The sequence below is a fragment of the Homo sapiens genome, chromosome 17 (assembly GCF_000001405.40).
Source record: "Homo sapiens chromosome 17, GRCh38.p14 Primary Assembly".
Taxonomy (NCBI): Eukaryota; Metazoa; Chordata; class Mammalia; order Primates; family Hominidae; genus Homo; species Homo sapiens.
This window is the reverse complement of record NC_000017.11, coordinates 38,569,470-38,595,489: the sequence shown is the minus strand read 5'-3', so window position 1 is coordinate 38,595,489 and position 26,020 is coordinate 38,569,470. Positions and strand designations below refer to the sequence as shown.

The window sequence follows — 26,020 nt, the reverse complement described above, 5'->3', positions numbered from 1 at the left end:
AATCCCAGCACTTTGGGAGGCCGAGGCAGGCGGATCATGAGGTCAGGAGTTCGAGACCAGCCTGGCAAACGTGGTGAAACCCTGTCTCTACTAAAAATACAAAAATTAGCTGGGTGTGGTGGCGGGTGTCTGTAATCCCAGCTACTCAGGAAGCTGAGGCAGGAGAATTGCTCGAACCCGGGAAGCAGAGGTTGCAGTGAGCCGAGATTGCGCCACCGCACTCCAGCCTGGGTAACAGAGCAAGACTCCATCTCGGGGTCGGGGCGGCGGGGAAAGACTTATTGAACACTTTCTCTGTGCCAGGCACTGGGCTAGGCTCAGAGTCTAACAGCAACCAAGGCAGATAGGTTCCTGGATGCTTTGCTTAAGTGTTGAGCAAGTAGAGGTTGAAGAGTTGGAAGATATCCTGGCTGTGGGGGCCTGTCCTCTGTCTATCTGCCCCTGTTCCCCCTGCTGGAAGCTGTTTTGTAACTTTATGTCCCTGTAGAGTGTCCTCTCATAATGTGCCCCTGCCAAGCAAGCAGTTACTTGGCCTCCAAGTCCCTAGTGACCTTGATGGCTAAGGGCAACATCATTAGGCTGCTCCTGAGGCTGTTTCAGAGGACATCAAACAGCCCGGCTGGAGGAGGGTGTATGGGCAGGGGAAGCCGCCCCCCAAAATCTGGGCCCAGGACCAGCAGCCTGGAGCATTGGACTTGAGAGTCAGCCTGCCCTGGGTTCAAACCCCCACTTCAGCCATTTCCTAGCTGTGTGAGCCTGGACGAGCCACTTTCCCTCTCTGAGCCTCAGTGTTTGTGCCTGTAAAGTGGTACAAGAACACCTCCCAGGCAGCATTGTTGAGAAGAGTAAAGAAAAAGTAGTGATGGGCCCAGACTTGGCCCACAGCAGGGGCTGCCTAATTGCAGGTGCCCTTTGCGTCCCCACCTGCTGCCCAGGGTTGGGCAGGCTGTACCCTGGGTACTATCTGGATGCTGCCCTGCCTTCTTAGGAGAGGGGCTATTTTCAGGTTCCACGTCCTCCAGCCCTTTTCCAGCTCTCTGAACTGCTATTCAGCTACAATCTGGGTGGGCAGCTGGGGGAGGCAGCTCTCCTTGCCACCGTGGCTGCCGCCGCCTTGATGGCTTTTTAATAACTTTGCTCTGAGACAATCTGCAGAGCGCTCATTTGTCTGCCTCTTAATTAAAATTACCGTTTTCCTAAAAGAGCAACGACACTGCTCCCCTCCCTCCCCCATCCTTGGCTGCTGCCGGGAGAAGCCAGGAGAACGCGGAGAGACTTGAGATTGGAGCCCTTTCCCTCCTTGCTCGCGTGAGTTACCCCCGCTTCCCTGCACAAACAGCAGAGGGGCCAAGGCTCAGCCTGCAGGGTGGGCTCAGGGGCAGTGAACCAGGCAGAGGGGGCCAGGGCAAGGGCCTCTGAGACCTGAATGTTCTTCTCTTTCACCCACCCTTTTCTGGAATACCCCCAGTGATGGGGAGCTCAGTACCTTACAAGACTTACTTTCTGCCTCCGTAAAAAGGTGAAGCAGCCCCGTCCTGGCTTTACCAGCCAGAGTGGAATAAGATGTGGATGGGTTTTGGAAAAGTGCTATGAAGGAGTATTGCAATGCCTAGTGAGGGTGTAGGGGGTGGGAGTCGGGAGGAGGCTACCATGGTAGTGGACACCGGGGTCAGCCCCTCACTGTTGACTCTGGTTTTGGTTAGAAGAGACCTGTGCTCCCTCTGTGGGCTTTCAGGGGATGGGGCTCATTTAGTCATTGCTGAGTTTTGAGAAAAAAAATCATCACTGGTAATAATGAAAACACTGATGGCCAGTATTTATTGGGTGCTTCCTGGGAGCCAGATGCTGGGTTGTGCATTGTACAAGTGTTAGTTCATTTCATCCTCACAACTGTCCTGTGAGCTCACTGCTGCTGACTGTTTTGTGGGGGAAGAGACGACAGACCTGAGGGGTTAAGTAGCATGCCTGAGGTCAGAGAGAGAGTCCCAGTCTCTAGCAGGGCAGCCTCAGCCCTACACCCTCCCTTCCCCTCCGCCTTCACCTGAAGCTTTGTATGGGTCTTGCCCCATTCCCTCGTGCCCCTTTTCCTCACTCTCTGCACTCTGGCAGCAGGGCTCCTCTGTGGCCCAGCGCCATGGAGAATTCACACTGAGATTCATCACCTTCCTCCCCAACCCTGTTCCTCCTGAGGAGTCCGTGCTGCAGCCAGGTGGGGGCCCCAGCAGCTCACCTTGGGTCTGGCCTCTTCCCTGTGGGCCTTTGCCTCTGTGGCTCAGCTCCTCTTCATCACCTCCCATTCCTGCTCCTCCCTGAAATGCCCTTCCCCAACAACCGCCTCTGGGCTCGCCCCTCCGATCTCCCAGAGCACTGTCAAACCTCTGGTGGCTCCTAATGTAACCTTTCTTGAACAATCACCAGTTCTGGACATAACTAAGCCCACTAGCCTACTTTTGCTTGTGGGGGCAGCAAACTCAGTACCTTCAGGGACAGCAAATGAGGGAAGCGATGCATGAGGATGATAGGGAATGGTGGGGGCTGTGGTGAGGAGAGGGGTGCCTTGCAGCCTCTGCAGCCCTCCCTTCCTTACCTCACTTCCTGTGCTCCTTAGAGGTATTAAAATTCAAAGAAATAAAACCAAACACCACCAGCCCCCCAACCCCCCCAACAAAAAAAGCCTGTGCTTCAGTGTAGCCACAGTGTGATCCTTGCTAAATCATCTCATTCATCTTGGCATCCCCACATTGCCTAACACATTAAAGTAGCTGTGTATGAATTGTTTGTTGAATGACTACATGATGACACATGTGCCAGGCACTGTGCTAGATACTTTACACACCTTATTTCTTCCCATCTTCACAAGGGAGGCACTATTTTTTCCATTTTGCCATTGGGGAAACTGAGGCCTGGAGGACTGAAATGATTTGTTCAAGGTCACACATATGGGAAGTGGCCAAGGTGAGATTTGAGCCTTGGCTTGCTGTGTCCTTCTGCCTGTTCTGTTTGGTCATGGGGATGCATACATGGGACACATGTCACCTGCTTTCAGTACCTGTCCCGGGTAACAGGGAGCACTTGTGTGGCTGGTGACCACCTGGTTGAGGTGCACTGCTCACCTTGGGGAGGCAGGGCAGGGAAGTGAGGGCTGCAGAGGCTGGAAGGGTGCAGATGCCCCTCACCCCAGCACAGCCCTCCTCCCTCAGCTTCCGATCCCATCCCAGCAGCCTGGGGATGGCGGCGTGGTGACAGGTGCCGAGCTGCAGAGATGACGGCACTGCTGATTCCCCCATAATTACTGTCTGATGAGACACCAGAATTAGCCACTGCGCAAGCATGGGATGCAGACACGGGGCACTTGCAGGGAAGCAGCTGAGGGTGGGGGAGCCTCTCCTTCCAAGCCTGGGGCCCTCTGGCAGCAGGGCAGGGAGGAGGAAGTAGGTTAGCAAGGAGGAAGCACTGTGTGGTTAATATGCCTCAGATATTATCATGTGGGCTTGTGGTTTTCCACTTCTCACAGTGACTGGCTGCCAGACAGGGGCATCCTGGGCCTCAGGCCACTAGCCAGAGAATTCCAGGCAGAGCGGGCTGCCCACTCAGACTCCTGGGCACACCCTTTGGTGTCTGGAGCTGGGGCTCTGAGGGGCATAGTTGCTGGGAGGTGCTAAGATTCAGACCAGACCCCTTAAGTGACATTAGCAAGGCCAGGCACCAGAAAGCAAATGGAAGTGACTGGAAGGAGCAGTTTCAGCTGACTGGGCCAGGAACTTCACCCCTTCCAGGCAGGAGGAGTCAGGCTGGCCCCCTGAGGTCTGAGGCTGGGGGAGGCCTGAGCGTTAGGAGCAGGAGGCAAGGAAGGTATGTTCTGGCCCTGGAACAGCGCTCTTAGGCCCTGAGCATTTGTTTTTCCTGGCACATGTGCTGTGTGGGCAGGAGGGGCACTAGCGAAGGCACTTTAGTAACAGAAGCAGAGAGGAGTCACCTGTGCTGCTCATACCTCATCTGGACCATTAGAGCAGTTCTGAAGGCCAGCAGCCAAGAGGGGTGGTGACATGGGGATTACCCAACAAAGGGTGGTGCAGATGGCTGGGGGGCTGGGCCACACAGGAAGGACCTGAGGGCTTATGACAGAAGGTTCCGGTTCAGGAGCCTCCACTCTGCTCCAAAGGGAGAGGTCATGACCTTCCCCCAGGTTCCCCTGAGGGCCATGGGCACAGACTGTGGCTCATGTTAAGGAAGGAGAAACCCCACAAGATGATTGGTGCTTTGGATGTAATGAGTTCTCCTTTCCTGGAAGTATCTAAGACCTGACTGGCTGGAGCTCCTGATTTGCAGTTCTGTCTCTGCACAGCCTGTGGCAGGGGCTGGGAGGGCTTCGTATCCAGCATAGGTACAAGAAGGCTACGAGTAGGGCTGTGGAAAGGTGGATCCCCTAGAAGGTCTTTCAGGACTGTGGGACCCCCACTTCCAGCCTAAGTTTCTGTGATCTGGGGGTGGCTCTGCTTCCTCCCTCTCCTCCAGCCCTGGGGAATAGGCCCCCCCAAGAGGACTGGGTGGATGGCGCCCAAGATTAGCTGGGAAGGAGGGTTGTTTCAGCGTTCTCTTCTTAGGGTGTAGGAAGGACAGAGGGGACCTGTGGGGCTCTGGCCTAATGGCTTAGATGAGTACTCACAGATGACCTGGTGGCAGAATCAGCATCTTCCTCAGGGGCAACAGAGTGTAGGGGAAAGAAGAAGGACATGGGCTAATGGGCTAAGCACCCCGGCAGTTGAGATCAGCCTCTTCCACTTATCAACTCTGACCTTGGACAAGTCACTCCTTCCTGAGCCTCAGTTTCTTCACCTGTAAAATAGGGGGTTTGCAACCTCACAAGGTGACTGTGAGAATGAAGAGAATGATGGCTGCACGAGCCCTTTGAGATCATCATGAATATGTGTGGGTGTTCAAGGGTGGTTATCATGGCTGGGTGCAGTGGCTCATGCCTGTAATCCCAGCACTTAGGGAGGCCAAGGCGGGCAGATCACCTGAGGTCAGGAGTTTGAGACCAGCCTGGCCAACACAGCAAAACCTTGTCTCTATTAAGAATACAAAAATTAGCCAGGTGTGGTGGCACGGGCCTGTAGTCCCAGCTACTCGGGAGGCTGAGGCAGGAGAATTGCTTGAACCCGGGAGGAGGGGTTTGCAGTGAACTGAGATTGTGCCACTGCACTCCAGCCTGGGCGACAGAGCAGGACTGTCTCAAGAAAAAGAGTGGTTATCATTTCATGGCTGGTCCATATTTCCCACAGCTTCCAGAAAGCCCGATGCTGGGTTTAACCCTCGTCACTCAAGATGGATGTGTGGATTGGAGAAGGGAGGGTGGGAGTCTTTGTGTCTTTCGCAGAAGGGGAGACAGTTTATTTTTCCTTGCCTTGAAGCCTGTGCTCCACATTCCCAGATGCTGCTCTGATGGGAGAGCTCAGGTTAGACAACAAAGAGAACTTCCACAAGATGCCCCTGCTATCTGACCAGGCCCTGGCTTCCAAAGACTGCCTGACCCAGAGGCCAAGCCGACTTGCCAAGTCTCCTGCCTTTTCCAAACTGTGAACTCCGGGCTGCCCTCGCCCCATCCTCCAGAGTCTCTCGGGATACTAACAGGGTGTCCCTAGGGAGAGAGAATCATGGGCTGCAGATTCGGCTGTTTGTTCTTAGCTAGCTTGCAGGGTGGCAGAGAAATTAACCCATGAGGTGAGAGCTAAGCCTTGGGTCCCAGCAGCCCTGTCCTTCCCCATCAGCAGAGCTGGAAGCTGGGCAGAGGCTCTCCGGCCCCCTCGCCCTGGTGGAGGCGCTGAGCACCTACAGAGGTGGAATGAGGGCTGGAGGCAACCAGGTCCCAGAGGAGGGTCTCACTCATGAACATCGCCCCATTGGCTAAGCATTGGTCAGAGTAGGTGGCCTTGAGGTTACTGGGCTGACTCCTGTATTTTAAGACATTGTGTAAACACCTCAGCAAGGGAGCCCCGAACCTGGCAAAGTGGAAAAGGAGCTGAAGATGTCGCCTCCATGAGGGACTCAGGATGGGCAAGTCCCCACTGTCTTTCACCCCAAGCTGGAGATGCATCCACCTGGCGCTTTAGCGAGCCCCAGATGCCCTGCATGAGCTGCGTGGACTGGCATGACATTCTCCCTGTCTGCGTGGCATCTAAGGTGGCAGAGTGGGGCACCCTGGTGGGCCCAGGTATGTAGACCCCTGCATGTAGACTGTCATGAATACGTGTGGGTGTTCAAGAGTGGTTATCATGGCTGGGCACGGTGGCTCACGCCTGTAAGCCCAGCACTTTGGGAGGCCGAGGCAGGTGGATCACCTGAGGTCAGGTGGAGAGTGCTGGTGAGGCAGGCTGTGACTGGGCCCATGTCAGTGAGCAAGTACTGGGCAGCCAGGCGCATGCCGAGGTGCACAGGTTTGACGTAGAAGCATGAGTGAGCAGATGTGTGTGCCTGGGCGACTGAGTGTGTGCTGGGAACCCGGAGGAATCCTGCTGGTTCTAGCGGCCGAGGGAGCTGTCTGAGTGCTACTAGGTCATAGGGCTGGGACAAGGCCTCCTAGGGAGAGCCTGTCCCCATGAAAGGTGGTGTCTCTGAGGAGGATATCAAGGGCATCTTGGCAAGGCTGGGTCTCCTGCCCAATATTGATGAGCCCGTTGATGAGTACTTGGTGTTGAAAATGCTTCCCTGTGGGGAGGCAGGATGGTGGGTGGGGCTTCCACCACTCACTTCCAACAGATTGGAGTCTCTTCCCCTGGAAACAATATGCTTCCCCCTGGGCACGCTTTCAGCCTGAGGCAGCTGCAGGGAGGGAGGAAAGATCCCTTTCACACACAGAGGGGCGCAGCACTCAGGCTGGAGTGCCCCCTGGGGAGAAGACGCCCTGGCAGCCTCCTCAGAGTGATGGCAGAGCTGAGGACAGGCACCGGCCTTCCTCCCTTCCCACCCTCCAGTGTTCCCTCCTCCCCTCCCGCTCGGCCTGTGTTCCCCTCGGCTGCCTCTCCAAGGAGATGTGGAGCTGACAGGACACCTTCCCTGGGCGCGTGAGCAGTGGAGCTGCCACACAGGAGTTAGCTGGTTAACATAGTGCCGCGTGGGCACATGCCAGGGCTGTTCTCAGCATTTCCAGCTCCAGCTTCAGACTGGGGGTGACATGCTGCCCTCCATATCTCTGCCCCCTTCCTTCCCAGGGAAGCCAATTAGCCAGATCTTCATTAGAAGCCAAAAATCACAACCCCACAGTCCTGGGTCTGATACAACTCTGACAGTGGGTGGAAGGAAATCGGGCTCCGGGGTAGATCAGAAGAAACTGACTCTGCTCACCCAGGCTCTGCAGTCTGCATGCCTGTTGCCTGTTGCCTGTTGCCTGTTATTAGCTTCTGCTTCTTCTTCTTCTTCCTTTTTTTTTTTTTTGTTAAAGCAAATGAGAGGACTGAAGCTCTGAGCATCCCCTGACCTACTCAAGGTCACATAACTAGTCAGTGGATGCAGTGGTTTTTGGTAATGTCACAGATTTGCCTGCTGTGTGTGAAAGAGGAGGGGCAGGGGGAAGAAAGAGGGTTGTATATCTGGAATTCTGGGCACGGGGCTGATTTGCACATTTTGCAAGGATGGGGAGTCTTGTCTGAATGTGCAGTTCGGATGCCCTGCGGGGACCCTGATTTCTGTGTGGTGAGCATCCCCCTGGGCTGGGGGCATCACTGGGCCATGGACCCCAGCTTTTCTCCCTGTCGGCCGGGCTGCTGCGGTGTTTCTGCCTTGCTGCTGATCCTTCCTAAGGAGGTTGTTAGTCTGTGTCCTCCTGGGGCCCGTGGCCTAGAGAGGGGCTCCCCAGGCAGCTGCTTTCTGGGAAGTGGCATCGTGGAATGGAAAAATCCTTGTCCCTGAGGGCCAGGACCCCTGGGTTCCACTTTGGGCTCTGCCTTCAGCTCCTGCAGATTGGGTCAGGCTTGTACTCTGGGTGTTGGTTTCCTGCCTAGGAAAGGCATCTGGCTGGAGAGAGAGCACTGTGGTTTCCCGACACAGGACGGGTAAGGAGGGGGCCACCTCTTCCCGAGAGCTGAGAGCTGAGGGGAGGCCCCACCTCACCACCAGAGTCTGAGAGCTGCTGTGCTGTGTGGCCTGGGGCCCTGGGGGAGAGACAGCTGCAAGCAGAAGGAAGCAAGGACTCAATAGCCATGCAGAGCCAGTGCAGTTGGTGGAGGTGGCACCGAGGCCAAGCCTGGGATCTTTGAGAGTCCCCAGGACCCCACCCCACTCCTGATGTGGTGGGTGGGCCTCCTCACCCCACCCAATTCTGCCCTTCTGGGTGGAATGGCCCTTCTGCCATAAGGGAGGCCCCAGTCTGAGGGAGGAGGTGAGGGTCCTGCCCTGGGAGTGCCCAGGTCTGTGCAAGTGGACACAGTCAGCCTGGGATGGGCGAGGAGGAAGAGCTGGGCTGGGGAAGCATCTGATGCCCGCCCCCCTCCCCGGGTGCCCACCCGCAGGGAGCTTGACCCCCTCAAATCTGCTCTCCCCATGGAAAGCCCCAGCAGCTCCACCAGTAGCAGCCAGGGCCCAGGCCCCCAGCCTCACCGCTCCTCCTAGGCAGGTGTCAGTGCCTTCCCCCAGCCTCGAAGAGGTCCTTTAATTAGATTCTGACTCGTTTACCAACTAAGTGGCCTTCAGTGGGTTTTAAATCTGCACAAATTGGTTTGTGTTTTTCTGCCTACACAAAGCTGTGACTGGCAGTGCCCTGCACCCTCCCTAGCTGCCCTTTGCATCACCTCTGCTCCCAGCTCCCTCCAGGGCTCCATCATCCCCCATCCCATTGGATGCCCAGCTTCTGTGGAGCTTGGGAAGGGGGTGGCAGTATTCCCTGGGCAGGGGGATGGAAGAGACCACAGGGTCATAGGCCACAGTCCTAGTCCCCCTTCTTACCCCCACCCCTGGGGAAGGGAGTCCATGTGGTGACTCAGATTAGATCACTCGACCTCCCTGAGCCTCAGTTTCCCTTGCTGTATGATGAGGAGAATCAGCCTGCTCCAGACCCTTCTCCATGGTGGCTTTATAGATCAGGGCTGGGAGGTGGAGGAGGGGACAACAGGTGTATCACCTGCCAAGAACCACCTGACACCTCTTGCCTTGTCCATCTCCCCCCGCCCCCATCCACTACAGTGCCCAGGGAGTGGGCAGGGCCCACGCTGGGGGGATGGCCTCGATCCTCCCTGGCCTCGACCCTCTTCTCTGTCCTCCTTGTCACCCTTGGTGGGGAGGGGAGCTGGCATTCCTTGAAGACAACTTGCCTGGCCTTGCCCCATGTCCCTAGTGCCCTGCCCTAGTCACCAGGAGTCTTTATTTTCTAGCCATCTCCTCCATGCCTTCAACTCAGCTCCTTCTCCTCCCAGGCCCTGTCTCAGGCCTTCTGTCCAGTGGGCTCCCTTCCCACTTCCTCTCTGTCTTCCCTCCTAGTCCAGGCAGACTCTCCTGAAGTGGAGCCTGACATTCAGGGGGTGGGGCTGGGCTGGCAGGGAGTGGGGATCACCGTGGGGAGGTGCAGAGTTTCTGGCCCCCGCTCTGTGCCAGGAGCTAGGCAGGAGCCCCCTGTCTCCAATCCTCAGTCCAGCTGCCTCCTTCCCCCCATCGCCCTTCCCCCATCACACGCCCTCATCTCCGAGGCTTTAGTTGGAGTGACAGGGAGACTCAACAGGGCGCTGGGTATTAGCAATTTGGGGGGATATTACACAGGAATGTTTACAGAAAGGCAATTGCCCGGAAAATGACTTTGGTTGCTGTGGTATGGGGCGGAAAAGATGGTTTTAGAAAACAGACACAGATGGGCTTCTGATCCAAGGACCCACAGCCAGCCAGCAGAAACTGAGGAGTATGGGCACACAAGGAAGGCAGAGCCAGGGGCACCCAGGGACAGGGAGGCCGATTCCTTCACTAGCAGGGGAAGCAAAGGATCCCCTCTCCTAATTCGGGTTCCCAGAGCCTCTGCCTAGTTTGATACATATCTGGTCCCGGTTGACCTTTGTCCTCTGGCCTCCAACCTCCAAGCACACCGTGTGCTTCCCGACTGCAGCAGGCACCCAGCAGGATGGAGTCATCATGCACAATCGAAGGTGGCAGTGCCTCGGGGCTCCTCCTGGCTGACTTGGGCTCCTGTAGCATTGGCTGCAGAGGAGGGACTGGGGGAGCCTCATGCTGTGTGTTTGTGTGTGTGTGTGGGTGTGGCCTAAGGCAGGCAGGTCCTCCACCCTTCCAGCTGTCTCCATGCTCCTCTCCTGCTGCCCTGCCTAGCCCCATGTCCTGTGGGCTTGTGAGTTGGTGTCTTCACCCTGAGTGCCTCCTGCCCTCGCTTCCTGCCAGGGCTATAACCCAGCTCCTACCCCTGCCCAGGCAGTGGGTCGGGGCACACATGTGACAGCCTCTCAGGTCCCCAAGGGAGGGGTTTTGTCCAGCCTCCTTATCTCCACAGAGAGGGTTACAGGGACCTGATTTCCAGATCTTGAGTTTGGGGCTGGGGAGGACTCACATCAGGGGCCCCAGAGAGTTCTCTTCTCCCTTTCCTGAGCTGGTGGCTTCGTTCTTCCTCTACTTTGTCCATTTGCCTCTCTCCTTCCTTCTCCCTCCCTCTCCTCTCCTCTCCCCGTTCTCCTCCTTTGCAGATGACATCATGTGTGAATGTTGCCCAGGGGCAGCCAGAGGACAGAGTAGAGGGTTACATCCGGGGTAAAGATGCCAGTTGGGGACCGGCTTGGTGGCTTATGAGATGGTGTCACTAAGATGTTGGGATCTTAATTCTCATAATCAGTTACAGTGATCTCATGTAAAAGAATGTGGTGGAGGATAAAAATAAATGAGGCTGATAAATAAACGTAGAATTTGGAATTGTTCGGACAAATGACAACGTCACTCTTCCCAAGCACCTGTGCCGTCCTCCTAGCCGGCCACTGGGGGGCGCCCGCCACTTCCCGGCCACCCCAGCCTCAGGCCACTTTCACCTTCCGCGTTTCCCAGGCGGGGCAGGCTGAGCTGAGGGTGGCAGAACCCGCCTTCCTCACCCTGCCCTTCCCCTCATTCGGATTCTGGATTTCGCCAGTTCTTGGCATCTTCCCTGTGGCTTGAATCTCGGACTCAAAAAATATAGTCAGCCTTGCACACTGAGGTTCCTTGGAGAAAAGAGAAGCCCTGAGCCCCCTCCCTTATGTCTCTGGTTTCCCCAACCCCATCCCTGGGTTGGGGGGAACCTTCAGGCCCAACGCCCCTCCACCAGGGTATCCTAGCTTTGCTTCCCTTCCCCCAGAGTTCCCTGCCTCCGTCTCTCTCTATCGCAATGCCCCTATCCCTCTCCCAGCAGAACCCAGCCATGCTTAAGACCCCAGCCCGGGTCTCTCATGCCCTCCCTGCCTGGAACAGGACGCATTGATCTGTGCAGGGCTGGCAGGTGCCTGGATCCGCTTGCTAGATTGGAATCGATCCCTGTGTCTTTTCCCTGGGCTGCTCAGGTCCGAGGGGGGTCAGGGCCACTCCGAGGACTTGCTGATGGCTGGAACAGGCGTAGGGGTAACAGGGAGGTCAGGCTGCTACAAGCCCATCGCTGCTCAGGAATGTCTTTCATTGAAAGCAACCTACTTTGGCCTGGCGCGGTGGCTCACGCCTGTAATCCCAGCACTTTGGGAGGCCGAGGCGGGCGGATCACCTGAGGTCAGGCGTTGGAGACCAGCCTGGCCAACATGGTGAAACTCCGTCTCTACTAAAAATACAAAAATTAGCTGGGCATGGTTGTGGGCTCCTGTAATCCCAGCTACTCAGAAGGCTGAAGCAGGAGAATTGCTTGAGCCCGGGTGGCAGAGGTTGCAGTGAGCCGAGATCGCACCATTGCACTCCAGCCTGGGCCATAGAGTGAAACTCTGTCTCAAAAAAAAAAAAAAAAAAAAAACAGAAAATGAAAAAAAGAAAACAACCTACTTTCTCTACCATTGTCTTGCCAGCCTCTCACTTAGTGCCCAAAGGCAGAGTTTAGACGTTAACATCCCCATTTTACAAATTAGGTTCTTAGGCTCAGAGAGGGAAGATATTTGTTGACTGAATGAGTAAGTAAATTAATGAGGCTGGGTGTGTGTGGTGGCTCATGCCTGTAATCCTAGCACTTTGGGAGGCTGAGGTGGGTGGATCGCTTGAGCTCAGGAGGTGGAGACCAGCCTGGGCCACATGGCAAAACCCCATCTCTACAAAACAAAACAGACCACCAAAATAAGCTGGGCATGGTGGCACGTGCCTGTGGTCCCAGCTACTCAAGAGACTGAGGCTGGAGGCTAGCTTGAGCCCAGGTTGAGGCTGCACTGAGCCATAATCGCGCCACTGCACTCCAGCCTGGGCAACAGAGTGAGACCTTGTCTCAAAAAATAAATAAATGGCTAGCCTGGGGTCTCAGAAAAGTTGCTAAGACACCCAGGGTGTCTCTGGCCTGGGTTTTTCTCTCCCAGTGTTCTGATTTCAAGTGCCTGGCCTGCTGAAGGAGTTAAAATCATGCCTGAATCTTCAGAGCCCCCCCAGGAGGCTGGTCACTGGCTTCCCTCTCCTAAGGACAGGATGCTCCCCCACCCTCAACCAGAAGCCCAGGTTCATCCTCCCAGCTCAGCTGGGGCCCTGCAGAAAGAAGTTAAATCTGTACAAAGTAGGAAGCCAGGACAGCTAGGCTACCCAGGCGTTCCCTTCTCCCCGAGCCTCAGCTTACTTTTTTGTTATATAAAAGCCAAGGATCTCAAAGGTTCTTAAACAGATTCTAAAGCTTTTCACATCAAAGCTCCTCCTTGCCACCGCCCCTCAGAGAGAGCAGATCATCTCTCCTGCCCCCTCCCCTCTCTCTGCCACCCCTTAGTATCTAGCTCCTGCCCGCCTCACCCCAATAGCCCCAATGCCAGAGCACCTGAGGGCTGAGCGACGGCCTGGAGGAGGCAGTGAGGGGTAGTCCCTGCTTCCCTGTCTGTGCAGGCTGCTCAGCAGCCCCTCCCCACTGCCAACTGTGAGATTTGTGGGACTGCAGTCATATAGTGCAGTTGTGAGCTCCATGCCCTACCCTCTGCCTGCTCCAGCAGCTGGGAGCTGGGACCTCTCCCTGCCATAATCTGCCTGGGAGAACTGGGTGACCTGGGGACCCTCCCACTCCACAGTCACCACTCATCTCAGGCTGGTACACTGTTTGCTCCACCCCAGACACACTGAGATCCCCCAGGAGGTAGGGAAGGAGGTGCTGGCATGAGGAGGGGGTAAGAGAGGGGATGAGGAGCTCTTTTGGCTCCAGGAAGGAAGCAGCTGGGAGATGATAATTGGAGACCTGTCCCAATGTTGTCCTGAGCCCTAGGAGGGCAGAGGAGCCTGGATCTCTGGCATAAGGGGCAGGGGTCCTTCTGGCTCAGGCAGGACTAGGCCTGAACTGTGGAGCTGGATTCCAGCAGCAAGGCCACGGCAGAATCCACAAGGCCTGGGCAAAGGAAAGGCTCTTGGCCTCAGAGGGTCCCCTCCTTCTCACTTGTACCCAATGGGCTGCAGACCTCTGGCTGGTGGTGAGGGTGAGTGGAGGAGGAGGAAGGTCAGGGGTTATGGGAGGCAACCCTCTGACTTTGGTTGGAGCTATTTCTCCAGCGCCCAGGGAACCCCCAGCCTTCTCATGGAGGCATTATTCAGGCCACTCTCCTTTAGCCACACTTCTGGCCACTGTGGGTTGCCACAAGTACCTCAAAGACAGGGACTGGGCCCTCAGGAAGATGGCCCCAGTGTTCCCAGTCTCACTCAGTCAGGGTCTATTTCACGAATTACCATCATATCAGGAAACCTTTTGTACTGTACTAATGCAATATACGTTTTTGTTAGCTCACTTTGAACTTTAAATTTACTTAAAAGGAAACTTTATTTCACTACCATCCCAAGGAACTATATCCATGAAATCACTGGTTTGACCTTCTAATTGGGGCTTTTTCTAATCCTTATGAAAATAAAGGTATTTAAAAAAAAAAAAAAAGACCTGGGTGTGGTGGCTCACACTTTTTTTTTTCTTTTTTCTTTTTTCTTTTTTTTTTTTTGAGACAGAGTTTCACACTGTCTCCCAGGCTGGAGTGCAGTGGCGTAATCTCCGTTCACTGCAACCTCTGCCTCCCGGGTTCAAGCATTTCTCCTGCCTCAGCCTCCCAAGGAGCTGAGATTACAGGTGCCCACTATCACTCCCGGCTAATTTTTTGTATTTTTAGTAGAGATGGGGTTTCACTATGTTGGTCAGGCTGGTCTCGAACTCCTGACCTCGTGATCCACCTGCCTCGGCCTCCCAAAGTGCTGGGATTACAGGTATGAGTCATCGTGCCTGGTCCGCGGCTCACACTTTTAATCTCAGCACTTTGGGAGGCCAAAGTGGGAGAATCACTTGAGCCTAGGAGGTTGAGACCAGCCTGGGCAACATAGCAAGACCCCATCTCTAAAAAAAGGAAGAAATTCACTGGGTGTGGTGGCAGGCACCTGTAATTCCAGCTACTTGGGAGGCTGAAGTGGGAGGAACTCTTGAGCCCAGGAGCTTGAGGCTGCAGTGAGCTATGATCACACCATTATACTCCAAGCTGAGTGCCAGAGCAAGACCCTGTCCCCCCAGAAAAAGAAAAAAAGAGGAAGGAAGAGAAGACATAAAATAATGTTCTTCCCAAAGTCATCTCTCATGTATTTGGACCTTATTTTGGGGAGCACAACAGAGGATGGTGACCATGGTGAGAGGGACCACCCAAGACCCAGGGCCATGGTTGGGGATAGCAGCAGGTCAGTGAGGAAGTCCACACATGCCATGTGGTGCTGTCAATGTTCACTCAAGAAACAGTCATCGTGGAGAGTGTGGTGGCACAAACGTAATAAATATTGAGATCAAATCAGGCCTCTTCCATTCAGTGTTGCTTTAGGCTTGTCAGTGGACTTCTCTGAGTCTCAGTAGCCATTTCTGAAATGGGGACCATGATAACACCCACCTGATGGGGTGTAGGGAAGGAAGCATGCAGCCATGAGGCAGGTGGTCAGGCCCTGGTGAGCTGCGGCTCTCATGCCCATGGGAGCCCTTCTTCCCTTGGTTCGGTGGGAGGTGCTGGGTCCTCGCAGGCTCTGTGCCCCTAATGGACACAACCCAACCATTGCCCAGGGAGGGGTGTGTATGTGTGTATGTGTGTGTGTGTGTGTGTTGGGGGCAGGTGGCTTTTCTTGAAACCTGGCTGAATCTCCTCTTTCCTCTGTGGCTGGGCAGGGGATGGCAGACCTGGCAGCTGTCCATAGACCTCCTGACAGTGGATGCTTGGCGGGAGGAGGCTTGTAGCAAACCTGGCTGGTTTCCAGCGTTTCCAGCCGCGTCCCCTGTTGCCCTGGGCTGCCCTTGGAGGAGCCCTATGAGTCAGGCCACACGGGGGCGGGAGTGCATGTGTCTGCTGCAGCGCCTGATGCCCCAGTCCTAGGCCACACTTGGAGGGCTGCTTTGGGGCTGGTGGATTGTGGGGCTGGGGTGTGCAGGAGAGGCTGTGCTTGTCTCCCTATGGACTGACTTCTGAGGGGCACAAATCTATGTTTTATGCCCAGGAATATGGCTGAGGTAGGCCCCCAGCAACTTCTTCCACCCCCAGGGGCATGCGTGACCTCTGGAACCCCTGGCCACTGGTCACTGAAGCTGGAGAGTGCGGGCCAGCAGGGCTGGGCCTGGGGAGGCCAGGAGCTCAGGGCTGGAGAGCATTTGGGAAGGGGATTCAGAGTTCCGCGTGGGACCTCAACCCCCGGCCTTCTCTTTCTTTTGCTTCTGTGCTGTCCTTTGTCCCCTGTACGTCTCTTATGGGTCTTGATCTTGTGTGTGTGTCGGGAGGAGAGACTGAAGAAGGGAGGGGAGAGGTGGGGGGAAAGCCCCTGGGAAGGACTTCAGCTGTTCTGTCTGCTTTCTTTCCCTTTAAGTTTGTTCCAAATCCATCTCTCACTGTCCTCTCTGTGCCCAGCCTCTCCTGTCTGTCTATCTGTCTGTCTCTGGGGAGGGAAGGGAAAAGGGGTCCCACTGCCCCAGACGCTGGGCTTCCATCTCCATGGGAAACCTGAGAGCGATTTTTGCCCTCATTCTCCCCATGTCTTCCTGCCCTGGCCCTTTTCCCAGCCGGCGCCCAGCCTTGAGGATAAGTATGTCCTGGACATATGCTAGTCTGAGGGAGGAGGCAGGGCTCCCCGCCCCCAACCTCAAAGGAAGACTACGAGCTCATTTTCACGTCTTTTAGGGAGCATCTAAAAAGCACCCCTCCTTCCCTCACCTGCTGGCACCAGCTTTAGGAGGGGAGGGGGTTGTGTGGCTGGAGAGGGTCTCAGGATACCTTCTACCCCTTTCATCCAAACCCCCAACCCTTGGCCTCAAAGGGCTGCACCCCCGCGGTCATTATCGCTCCAAACCCACGGAGGAACAGGGAGTATCCAGCCCTTGTTCCTCACCCCTCCCTAGGGGCCGTAGGCGCGCTTTCCACGCCATCCACGCACTTCCCCCTTCAGTCCCTAGTGGGGTGCTGGGCAGCCCCTGCCTCTCCCCGGGCGCCTCTCCACTCTCCTTAGGCCCAGGCCCCGCCCCTTCCCGCAGGGACCCCCTTGGGGGATGGGCAGCCCCAGGCCGGGCGCGCCGTGACCCAGCCGTGCCCCTCTCACCTCTCGCAGATCCGGAGCGGAGCAGCCCCCCCATGCTGTCTGCGGACGATGCGGAGTACCCGCGGGAGTACCGGACCCTGGGGGGCGGGGGCGGCGGGGGCAGCGGGGGCCGGCGCTTCTCCAACGTGGGGCTGGTGCACACGTCCGAGCGGCGGCACACGGTGATCGCGGCCCAGAGTCTGGAGGCGCTCAGCGGGCTCCAGAAGGCGGACGCCGACCGCAAGCGTGATGCCTTCATGGACCACCTGAAGAGCAAGTACCCACAGCACGCCCTGGCCCTGCGAGGCCAGCAGGACAGGATGCGAGAGCAGGTGAGTGGGCTCCCGGCTGCGGCTGCGGCTGCGGCCGCGGCCAGCGGGCAGGGGAGGAGGTCTGACCCCGTGCTCCGTGTCCCCAGGCTCATTCCAACTCTGGGAGGCATCTGGAGCAGAGAGGGAAGAAGGGGAGGAGTTGGGGAGTTGTCCCTCCAGGGCAGTGGCTCTGGTTGGCCTTTTCTGGAGCCTGGGGAGGAAGGGGGTGGGGGCTTGGCCCCCAGACCTCTGCCTGCAGTCCGGAAATCGAGAGCGTGTGACGGGGCAGAGAGAGCCCAGCCTCTTTAACTCAGGCTGTTTGGGCAGAACTCTTCTGGGAGGAAAGGAGAGGAGGACAGCCTTGGGGACTGTTGTTCTGTGCCTGAGAGTCCATCCTGTGGTGAAGTTGAGATGCTGGGGTCGTCGGCACCTCTGTGATATGGACTCTAAGAGAGAGTCGGGCCTTGAGAGCCTCAGTAGGCTGGGTCCGATGTGTCCCCAGTTCCTGCAGCCTGCAAGAATGGAGCCCAGAACGGGAGCCTTTGACCTCTTTCCTCCCTGTTCCACCCCGTGGCGTGCTGGGTGACTTGGAGCTGGAGGCCTCCTCTCTCTGTACCTGGGTATCTCTCCTGCCATCAGTAGGGCTTAGAGAGGAGACACAGCGCCTGTGTCTAGACCAGGACCCGTCTCCTTCTATAGCGAGTGGGATGGTTCCTTTTTAAACCTCCCCCAGAACCTCGGGGTCCTGAATGCATCTCTCCACCCAAGTATGAGCTTCTTGTCTGTAAGAACATGCTTTCTGGGTCTAGCATCCTGTGTACAGTTCTGCATTGGTGAGGCGCTTGCATGGTTGCTGCATATTGGCTTCTGAGACTCAGCCATTGTACCCCTGGGTGAAGGGACTGAGGGGAGGGATGCACATCCCATCAGCAGCCTTTCAGTCAAGCCTGGGGGTGTGTCAGTCCCTGTCTCCCTTTTCCGGGTTCTACTGGATGTAGCTGGGGATGGGGAGGAGTGTCCCCACTCCCATCCTCACTGCAGGGAACAAGACACATTGGCACATTTCTGCTACCTTATCTGCCCTCTAGTGCCACCTCCAGTTCCGTCTGGCTTTTGCCTTTTCCCAGCTCTGAAGTCCTTCTGGGAGCAGGATGCAGATCAGGATTAGAGAGAGTTGAAGAAGATGTTGCCGTCACCCTCAAGGAGCCCCTCTCATTGGGTTCCTCCTGTGTGCACTGGCTTGAGGAGAAGGGCAGGGGCATTTGTCATCTAGCTGGGGAGGGGAACAGTCAGTTGGGACGGGGTTTAGAGGAGGGAAGATCATAGGCAGGCCTGATCGGGGAAGGCTTCCTGCAGGAGGAGGTATCTAAATCAGGCTTAGAAAGATGAAAAGGGTTTGCATAGCCCTAAAGGAAAGAATGTTGTTTTAGGAGTGGTGGGGGTGTATGGCATGGGCATAGGCCTGAGTTGGTTTGGGAACTGGCACAGAGGTCCACCTGGCCGGCGAGAAGGCTCAGGTGGGAGGTAGTGGGATGTGTGGGAGCTGACTGAAAAAGTGGGGCAGATGGTGGTGGCTAAGGTGGCTGTGTTTGCTTTTGGATGGTGAATAGGAGGGGAGAAGCGGGACTGGAGGCAGGGGAAGGAGAAGAGGAAGAGTGTATCAGGGATGATGAAGGGGAAAGGATGGATGGATGGGGGTTGGAAGAAGACCAAGTGTAGGTCTAAGGCTAAGCTGCCTGGACCTAGAAGGCAATGACAGAAACACCTGGGCGACAGGGAGATGTTGGTGCCTTGGAGAGAAATAGGAGGGTTGGAGGGAAATGTTTGGGGGTGAGGGAGAGGAATATACAGAGACGGGTTTGAGCAGTGGGTAGGGCATTCTTGGGGATGCTCTTAAGGCACCATATGCACCACTCAGGACTCCAGAGAGGCTGCAGCTTCAGGAGAAGAGTTGAGCACGGTCACAGCAGATACAAAGTGGACCTGGGATGCGGAGTGGCCATCAGGGCACAGTGGGGTCTAAGAAGGGAGAAAGCCCATGATGTTTGGGGAAAGGGGACCAGGAATGTTCTACATCCATGAGGAAGTCCCAGGGGAAAAAAGGCCCCTGGACAAGGGGCCAGCAGGAGGGTGACCAGAGCTTCAGAAGTCCAAAGGATGGGGAGAGAGAAACAGACATCGCGACTGGCCGGGATTTGTGGGCGCAGAGGGTATTGAGAGCTTGTGTCTCGTGGTGTGGTAAAGTAATGGCCAATTTCATGGGTTAGGGAGTTTGGGATTGGTGAAGGATCAGGAGCCCCAGCCACAGACTTATTTTGGGGAGATTGGGCCAGGAAAAGGATGAAAACAGCTGGGTGGAGCTTCCAGGGGTAGCAGGCCTGGGAGAGAAGGCATAGGCATGTCTAAGGGCCTCCTATGTTCTAGCATGTTCACCAGCACAGAGTTTGGAACTCAGTAAATACTTAGGAAATGAATCAAAGCCCAGCCACCCACAAATTTGTTCCTTTCTTCTTTCACTCATTCGTTTCCCCACTTAGAGTGTAAGTGGGCAGGATCTATGGCCCGTTCACTTGCCATGGAATGTTCGGTGCTTAAGCACGGTGCCAGCTCAGGCAGTGTTTGTGGAATGAATGAGAGAATGAGGGAGGAATGAATCTGAGGATGCCAAGGGGAAAGAAGGCCACGGGAAACAGGTCCTAGAGGAATCTGGAAGGATGGTCTTAGGTGTGGGGTGGCCTTGGGGAACGAAGGGGGTGGAGTCACTTCCACTGAGATACAGGAAAGAAAGGTATGCTGTGGGACAGAGACAACTGGGGGGAGGCTTCTCCTGCCCAGCGGTTCCTATTTCTGTGAGGTAGGTGTGACACCTTTAGTGAGGAGGGGATGAGAGCTGGGGAAGGGGAGATGGTAAGGAGCAGCTTCCTTGCCAGTGTGCAGAGGGACAGCCAAGAATTGGATATGAGGCCGGGCGCAGTGGCTCACGCCTGTAATTCCAGCACTTTGGAAGGTTGAAGCAGGTGGATTCCTTGAGCCCAGGAGTTTGAGACCAGCCTAAGCAACATGGCTGTCTCTTAAAAATAATTTTTGTTTTTAATTAGCTGGGCATGGTGGTTTGCCCCTGTAGTCCTTGCTACTCAGGAGGCTGAGGTGGGTGGATCACTTGAGCCCAGGAGGTTAAGGCTGCAGTGAGCCATGATCGTGCCACTGCACTCCAGCCTGGGAGACAGAGTGAGAACCTGTCTCAAAAAAAATAAAGTGGAGATGAGAATTTCAGAAATGTCTGATAGGGAAGGCCCTGCCCTGGGCTCAGGGAACCCCCAGGTCTAACAGAAAAGCAGACATCCAGAAACAGAGCAGGGCTCTAGTTAGAGAGATACCCAGCCTAAATAAGGGACTTGCCAGCATCGCTAGACCCCTCTGCAGTATGAGCTCTGTGCCAAGGCTTGCCCCAGGAATGCCCTTCCCTCCCAATCACAGTACCCCAGCGGCTCCTGCCCGCTTCCCCTAATGGGGTGTCCCCCGCTTCGCACACACAGGTTGGCGGCTGGACCGTGGACCCCGTATGCCTCCTCAGCTCCCTCTGCTCCCACCTCCATGGCGACTCCGCCCCCTCCGGGGCTGGCCAGCCGGCCCAGGTGAGTCACCCACCTCCACCCCACCCCCCAAGCCCATGGTGGAGTTTGGCTTTGGGGAGGATTTTTTTTTTTTGGAGGGGGGATGTTCAGGACTTTTATTTTGCAACCTTTTCTCTTTGGTGTAGGAGCCCCTATTTTCAGGAGACTTCTGTGTCCCGTACTCACATCTGCCCGATGTCTAATTCCCTGCCACTACCTCCTCAGGCCTGGTTGACTTTGGAGAAGGAATTTTTTGAGGGAAGATACTCAGGATTTTTAAAAAAGTTTTTGTATCCCTTTCTCCTTTAAACAGAAGTCCCCTGACCTTGCTCTGTGGGTTTTATGCCCTCCTCCCACTGAGGACTATCTTATTCCCCTCTCCACACCCTCCCCTTCCGTTTCTGAGCAGATCCAGCCTTCCCCAGATGTCCCACCATCAGGAAGTTCTGCATGAAGTCTCTCTCTCACCCCTCTTGCTAAGTTCATGGCTTAGTCTCTAATTTTTAAGAAGACTTGGGCATCAAGCCATCTATTCTGAACTTATTCCCCTCTTCCTCATCAGGCTTCAGTGTCCGTTATGGGAAGATAGATCTTAGCTTAGACAGGGACACATGTAGGCAGGATACCAGGGGCCTGGGCTCCCAGCTAGGCCTGGACATTGCTATGGGAGAAAAATAGGCATCTGAGGCCCAAAATAGGCATCAGAGTTGCAATGGGAAGGGGACAGCCCAGGGGAGGTCTTGACTTGAGGATATTCAGCTGTAGGAGGCGGAGGAGGGGTAGTGGCAGGGAATCCAGTGGGAACAGGGTGCTCAGGTCCTTACACACCCTGCTTCCCCCAGAGGACAAAAAGTCTTGGCTTTTTCAAGGAGAATTAAGAGAAAGAAAATTGTGACCACCTAGGAAATGACAGGCCTTCAGAGGGAGGATGTTTTAGCCGAGTGTAACTCAAGTCTAGTAACAGATTGGCATGCTTGTCATCACTCACAGGGCATTCAGCCCAATTTCTTTCCCAGTTCCCAAGCCCCATCTTGGCTGAACTTTGGGGAACAGGAATGTGTCTGCCCCCAAGGCTGGATGGCAAGTGGGACAGACTTGTCCTGAATGGCCAAGTGCATGGCGGAGACCAAAGTGGGGCTAGGACAGGGATGGTGATAGGACAGAGGACGATGTGATATGCATGGGTAGGGTTGTGGTGCCTTGTCTGCCCAGAGGTCCTCCCCAGATGGAGCATCTTGGGGCTGTGATAGGGGTTGGATGATGGACAGGAGTGAGGCTGGACTGGGTGAGCTCAGTTGTCCCAAGTCAGGGGCTTGGGGGAGCTGGGGATTTTGGCCTGTCCACATCTGGGATCTGCTCTGATGGAGGAAAGGGGAGCGCTTGAGCAGACCTTCCTCCTGGGGCTCTGTAATTAACCAGGAAAGTGTCTGTGCATAGGATCTTTTCATCACTTGATACTTATCACACTCCCTGCCCCTAAGGCTGAGTCTGAGGTTCCCTTTTGTTAAGTGCAGGACCAGAGACTTTGGAAAGGCCAGAACCACACAGCAGGGCAGGATGAGAGGCCATCTAGGAAACTTAGGCATCCTAGGCCTCCCAGACTTGGCTAAGGATTAAGTCACGGGAGAGTTAAAGGCCAAAGGTGCACAGCAAAGACCCCGGTGGGGAGAGGCTGTGGGCTCTGAAGTTTGAGCAGGAGGCAGAACACTGTCCCCTCCCTGATCCTCCACCAGGCGGGACCTTTAGGGATGGGGGCAGTGAAGAGGATCCTGGGAGGGCACCAGAGGTTGGACTCCAAGCCAAAGCCCCTCCCCCGGCTTCCACCAGGCTGTCTAACCTCCCTCCCTCCTGCTGCAACCCGAGTCCCGGGCGCCAGGCCGGCGTATCGGGTGACCGCGGCGACGCAGCCACCAGCCTCCGCCGCTCCTCTGCGGGGCTGCGCCGGCGGGGCCGCGCCGAGGGAGGGGGCCGCGAGAGGGGATGTGCACGGCGGCGCGCAGCGCCGCGCCAGGTGGAGTCGCGGTTACCGGGGCGACTGGGGCCCGGGCCGGCACGGCGGCGGCCGCGGCGGCTCTCGCATTGCAGCAAAGGGCACCGGCGGCGGCGGCCGCGGCTGCGGAGGCGGCCGGGGGAGAGAAGAGCCCGGGCGGGTGGGAGTAGGGGCCCTCCCTCCCCAGCCGGACGCAGGACCTGGGGCTGGGGACCCCGCACGTACACCTGTGGCCGCAGGTAAGGGGGAGCGACTGTGGGGGCCGGGATCGCCGCCTCGGGTTGGGCGGGGGGCGGGGACACGGAGATGGGGGCCCGCTCCGCGGCACCGAGAGCCATCCAGGGGTGGGGGACGTCCAGGCCATTGCAGGTTCCCGATCCCTGAGAAACGCCTCCTCCCCTCCCCCACCGCATTAGGTGCCTTCGGCGTGGGCCGGCCCCCACTCCAAAATCAGGCTGGCGCCCCCTCCCCCAGCGTCGGAAAGTCATGACCTTCCCGGGGTGCGCCCTCTTCCCCAGCGTCCCACAGCACCCCCACCCACCCACCCACACACACACTCTGCATTGGGAAGGAGATGAGGGTGTCATCCACACATCTGGAAGAGAGGGTCATGCATGTACATCGCGGTGGGGGCAGGCGCCCGAGGAGGGGCGAGTGGCTTAGCCCCAGCCCGGGGGACGAGTGTTTACGCTGACTCGTGTTCATGGGAGTTGAGAGGTGGGTGTGTGCACCGGTGCAGCACAGCCAGGGGATTAAGGAGCCGGTGTGGACCCGTGGGTTGCCCTCCCTCCTTGGAAGGTGCGTGGTCAGGGCTTGAGGTCAAGGAGGGGTCATTTGCTCACTGAACCTGCTGGGGATGCCTGCCCAGGGGAGGAAAGAGACCTCAGCTGGCTGGGCCAAGCCTCCCCAGGGGCCCTAGCCCCTCCCCTCCCAGGGCATGAGGGCCGAGGGGGGGAAAACCAGCAGCAGGGGAAGTAGGAACCCCTCTACCAGTGGCTAGGATGGAGGAGAGAGGAAGGGAGTTAACTCCTTAGCTCCCAGAGAGAAGAAGCTGTTTCCTCTTCTCACCAGGAGTTTGAGGACTCCCTGGCCTGGCTTCCTTGGGCCTTGAGAGACACTCCTTTCCCCCGTTTCTCACAGCGTGGTCCCTAGGGTCCTATGCTTCCATCTTACCTTCTTAGAACACCTCTCATTTTGCCCCAGCTCCTTTAAGATTCTTCCCCACAAGTGGTTGCCCCTGCCGGGGTCTCCCCTACTCACCCCTTTCTTTATTTCCCCCTTTCACTGTCTTTTGGGAAGGTGAGACCCCCTCCCTGACTATGGGGGAGGGAGACAGCTTTGGCACTGGAAGATTTGGCTTGAGGTGGACAGCCAGACCTCTCCTGGCCCTTCCTGCCCTCTGCCCTCCTAACTGGGGGGTTTCTGGTGTTGGGAAATTCCCAGGGAAAAGGCCCAGAAGGCTGAGCAGTGCTGGGTGCCAGGAGATGGAGGGAGTGGTGCCAGACCAGAGTATTCAGAGATCCCACCCTCCACCCATGGCTCGGTCCTATTTTATTGACATTCATTCATTGTCACATACTTGCTGAGTGCCTGCTATCCACCAGGTACTGTACTGGGCACAGCAGGAGGAACAGACACCCTGGAAAGGGGTGAGGAGGTACAGGGTGCTGGAAGTTGGAAGGGGAGTGACTGGGAATGTCCCACCTTAGAGAACACTAGAGGAGCCCTTTGCTCTCAGTCACGCTAGTCTGTCCCATGGGTTAAAATCCTGGAAAGAGACAGAGAAGGGGATGGATGATATCCCCAGAGGCCTCCCCCACCACAGTTTCTCTTCGCCAGAGACACTGAGTGGCCAAGAGACTGTGTCTCGTTCCTGGTGGGGTCAACATGAAAGAGGATCATTCTTCCCACTTTCCAGAGGGAGGACAGAGGATGGAGGGGCAGGATTCACTCATGTGCTCTATAGATCAGAGCCTGAAGTTCCAGATTTTGATCTCAACATCTCTCATGCATCCAAGTGACCGGCACAAGCGCAGCCCCTCTTCCATCTTTATCCTTTGAGGGGCTTGGCTGGCCTTTCCTATGGCACTGATGCCACCCAGTCCTCTCCCTTGGCTGCTGCTAGTGATACGTCCCTTCCAGGTGACTGCCCCATGGATGTGCACAGCCTTGGGACCCTGGGGCAGGCCCATGTGGAGGCCATAGCCAGTGTGGTTGTGGCCAGGCCCTGTCTTTATCTCCCTCCCAGGACCACGAGGTGGGCCTCAGTCATCCGAACAAGGTACCCTGAGTCTGATGTGTTGACACTGGTGGCAGGGTGGGGGACAGAACATCTTCTATCTCTTTTGCATCAGAGGTCACCTCCCTGACTTATGATATCTGGGACATGATAGGCATGGGACAGTGGCACCCTGACCTGGGGCTTTCTCTTTGTACGTAGGTGGCTCTGAGGCCGTGTGTGTGTGTGTTTCAATAGCCGGGGTGTGTGTCTCTCACTGTGAGTGGGCACCCGTGTCTCTGTTTCTGTGACTGTGGTGTTTTGAGGGTGAGTGTGAATGCCATCAGCACCTCTTGTCCTCTGTGACTGGCTATGGTGCTTGTGAGTGTGTGTAAGCGAGGCAGGGGTCTGGCGGGAGCCAAACACGTTTGTGTATGAGTGGGGGCGGTCTATGTGTGAATGTCTCTGTCTCTGAGTTTCTGTTTGTTTCCAGGGCTGTTTCTGACTGGGGAGCCCCTCTCTTAGTAGGGGTGTGTGTGTGTCGCTCTGGGTGTGTCTGTGGAGATGTCCTTATCAGAGGATGTGTCTGAGAGTCTGTGCTCAGCTGTGCGTGAGCCTGTGTGTTGCGGGGCGCTGTGGGTGGCCCATGTGTGCGCCGCCCGTGCCTGGTGTCATGGTAGTGGTGGGTAAGGGACTTGAGGCCTTCTCTGCAGAGCGGTCCATCACCGCTGGGTCTGCAGACGTGATTGTCCTCATAAACCTTCCGGTGTCCTCTGCCTGCCCCCACGTGTCCACTCCCTCTGCTACCCCTCCCCTTCCCCAGGCCACAGTCAGCTGCCGCTGGAGCCTGTTACTTGGTCCCTGGTCTCCCCTACCCTCAGTACCTGTGGGCATCCCCTAGCACCACTGGGGGTGGCCTCAGTCCATAGATGATTCCAAGCATTGGCTGGGACACAGACTTTGTTGTCCTCTTCTACTGCCTGGTATGTGACTGTTTTTTTTGGTTGTTGTTGTTTGTTTGTTTGTTTTCTAGCGTGAATGCTGGGGGAAGGATGGGGATGGTGGCTTAGGAGGGGGTGGTCTTGGCAAATGACCCTCTTGGTCCCAGCCCCAGCCCAGTGTCACCCCCACCCCAAAGGTCTGCCTTAGGTAAAGCCTCCAGCCGGAGTGCCCCTCGACTCAGCCCCTTCCAACTCCTCCCTGCCAGGAAAGCATTCAG

The 26,020-nt window shown here is 56.4% G+C and overlaps 1 protein-coding gene and 1 long non-coding RNA gene across 9 annotated transcripts in view, besides 5 other annotated features; one reads left to right on the top strand and one right to left on the bottom strand.

The window, feature by feature from the left end:
• SRCIN1 (SRC kinase signaling inhibitor 1) overlaps positions 1–26,020 on the top strand; it is a 76,995-nt gene that overhangs the window by 11,536 nt on the left and 39,439 nt on the right. For 6 of the 8 annotated variants that reach the window (XM_017025169.2, XM_017025171.2, XM_017025170.2 and 3 more), the window contains exons 2-3: positions 16,699–17,000; positions 20,516–20,614. In XM_017025169.2, coding sequence (XP_016880658.1) covers positions 16,722–17,000; positions 20,516–20,614 — 378 coding nt within the window. In that variant the 5' untranslated portion in view covers positions 16,699–16,721. The remainder of the gene's footprint in view (positions 1–16,698; positions 17,001–20,515; positions 20,615–26,020) is intronic. The other 2 variants (NM_025248.3, XM_017025172.2) reach the window with 1 other exon arrangement.
• Positions 1,709–2,208: an enhancer, noted in NCBI's record as "H3K4me1 hESC enhancer chr17:36749535-36750034 (GRCh37/hg19 assembly coordinates)". NCBI's record gives its function as "activates a minimal SCP1, AML or CMV promoter by ChIP-STARR-seq in primed H9 embryonic stem cells {active_cell/tissue: H9 hESC(primed)}" and the evidence as "EXISTENCE:reporter gene assay evidence [ECO:0000049][PMID:30033119]".
• LOC124903992 (uncharacterized) lies at positions 1,790–2,760 on the bottom strand. The gene is made up of 2 exons (XR_007065741.1): positions 2,231–2,760; positions 1,790–1,944 (listed from the first exon to the last, which is right to left on the bottom strand). It is a non-coding gene; the product is annotated as an uncharacterized LOC124903992 (long non-coding RNA).
• Positions 2,209–2,710: an enhancer, noted in NCBI's record as "H3K4me1 hESC enhancer chr17:36749033-36749534 (GRCh37/hg19 assembly coordinates)". NCBI's record gives its function as "activates a minimal SCP1, AML or CMV promoter by ChIP-STARR-seq in primed H9 embryonic stem cells {active_cell/tissue: H9 hESC(primed)}" and the evidence as "EXISTENCE:reporter gene assay evidence [ECO:0000049][PMID:30033119]".
• Positions 3,003–3,584: an enhancer, noted in NCBI's record as "H3K4me1 hESC enhancer chr17:36748159-36748740 (GRCh37/hg19 assembly coordinates)". NCBI's record gives its function as "activates a minimal SCP1, AML or CMV promoter by ChIP-STARR-seq in primed H9 embryonic stem cells {active_cell/tissue: H9 hESC(primed)}" and the evidence as "EXISTENCE:reporter gene assay evidence [ECO:0000049][PMID:30033119]".
• Positions 15,649–16,376: an enhancer, noted in NCBI's record as "H3K4me1 hESC enhancer chr17:36735367-36736094 (GRCh37/hg19 assembly coordinates)". NCBI's record gives its function as "activates a minimal SCP1, AML or CMV promoter by ChIP-STARR-seq in naive H9 embryonic stem cells {active_cell/tissue: H9 hESC(naive)}" and the evidence as "EXISTENCE:reporter gene assay evidence [ECO:0000049][PMID:30033119]".
• Positions 16,377–17,098: an enhancer, noted in NCBI's record as "H3K4me1 hESC enhancer chr17:36734639-36735366 (GRCh37/hg19 assembly coordinates)". NCBI's record gives its function as "activates a minimal SCP1, AML or CMV promoter by ChIP-STARR-seq in naive H9 embryonic stem cells {active_cell/tissue: H9 hESC(naive)}" and the evidence as "EXISTENCE:reporter gene assay evidence [ECO:0000049][PMID:30033119]".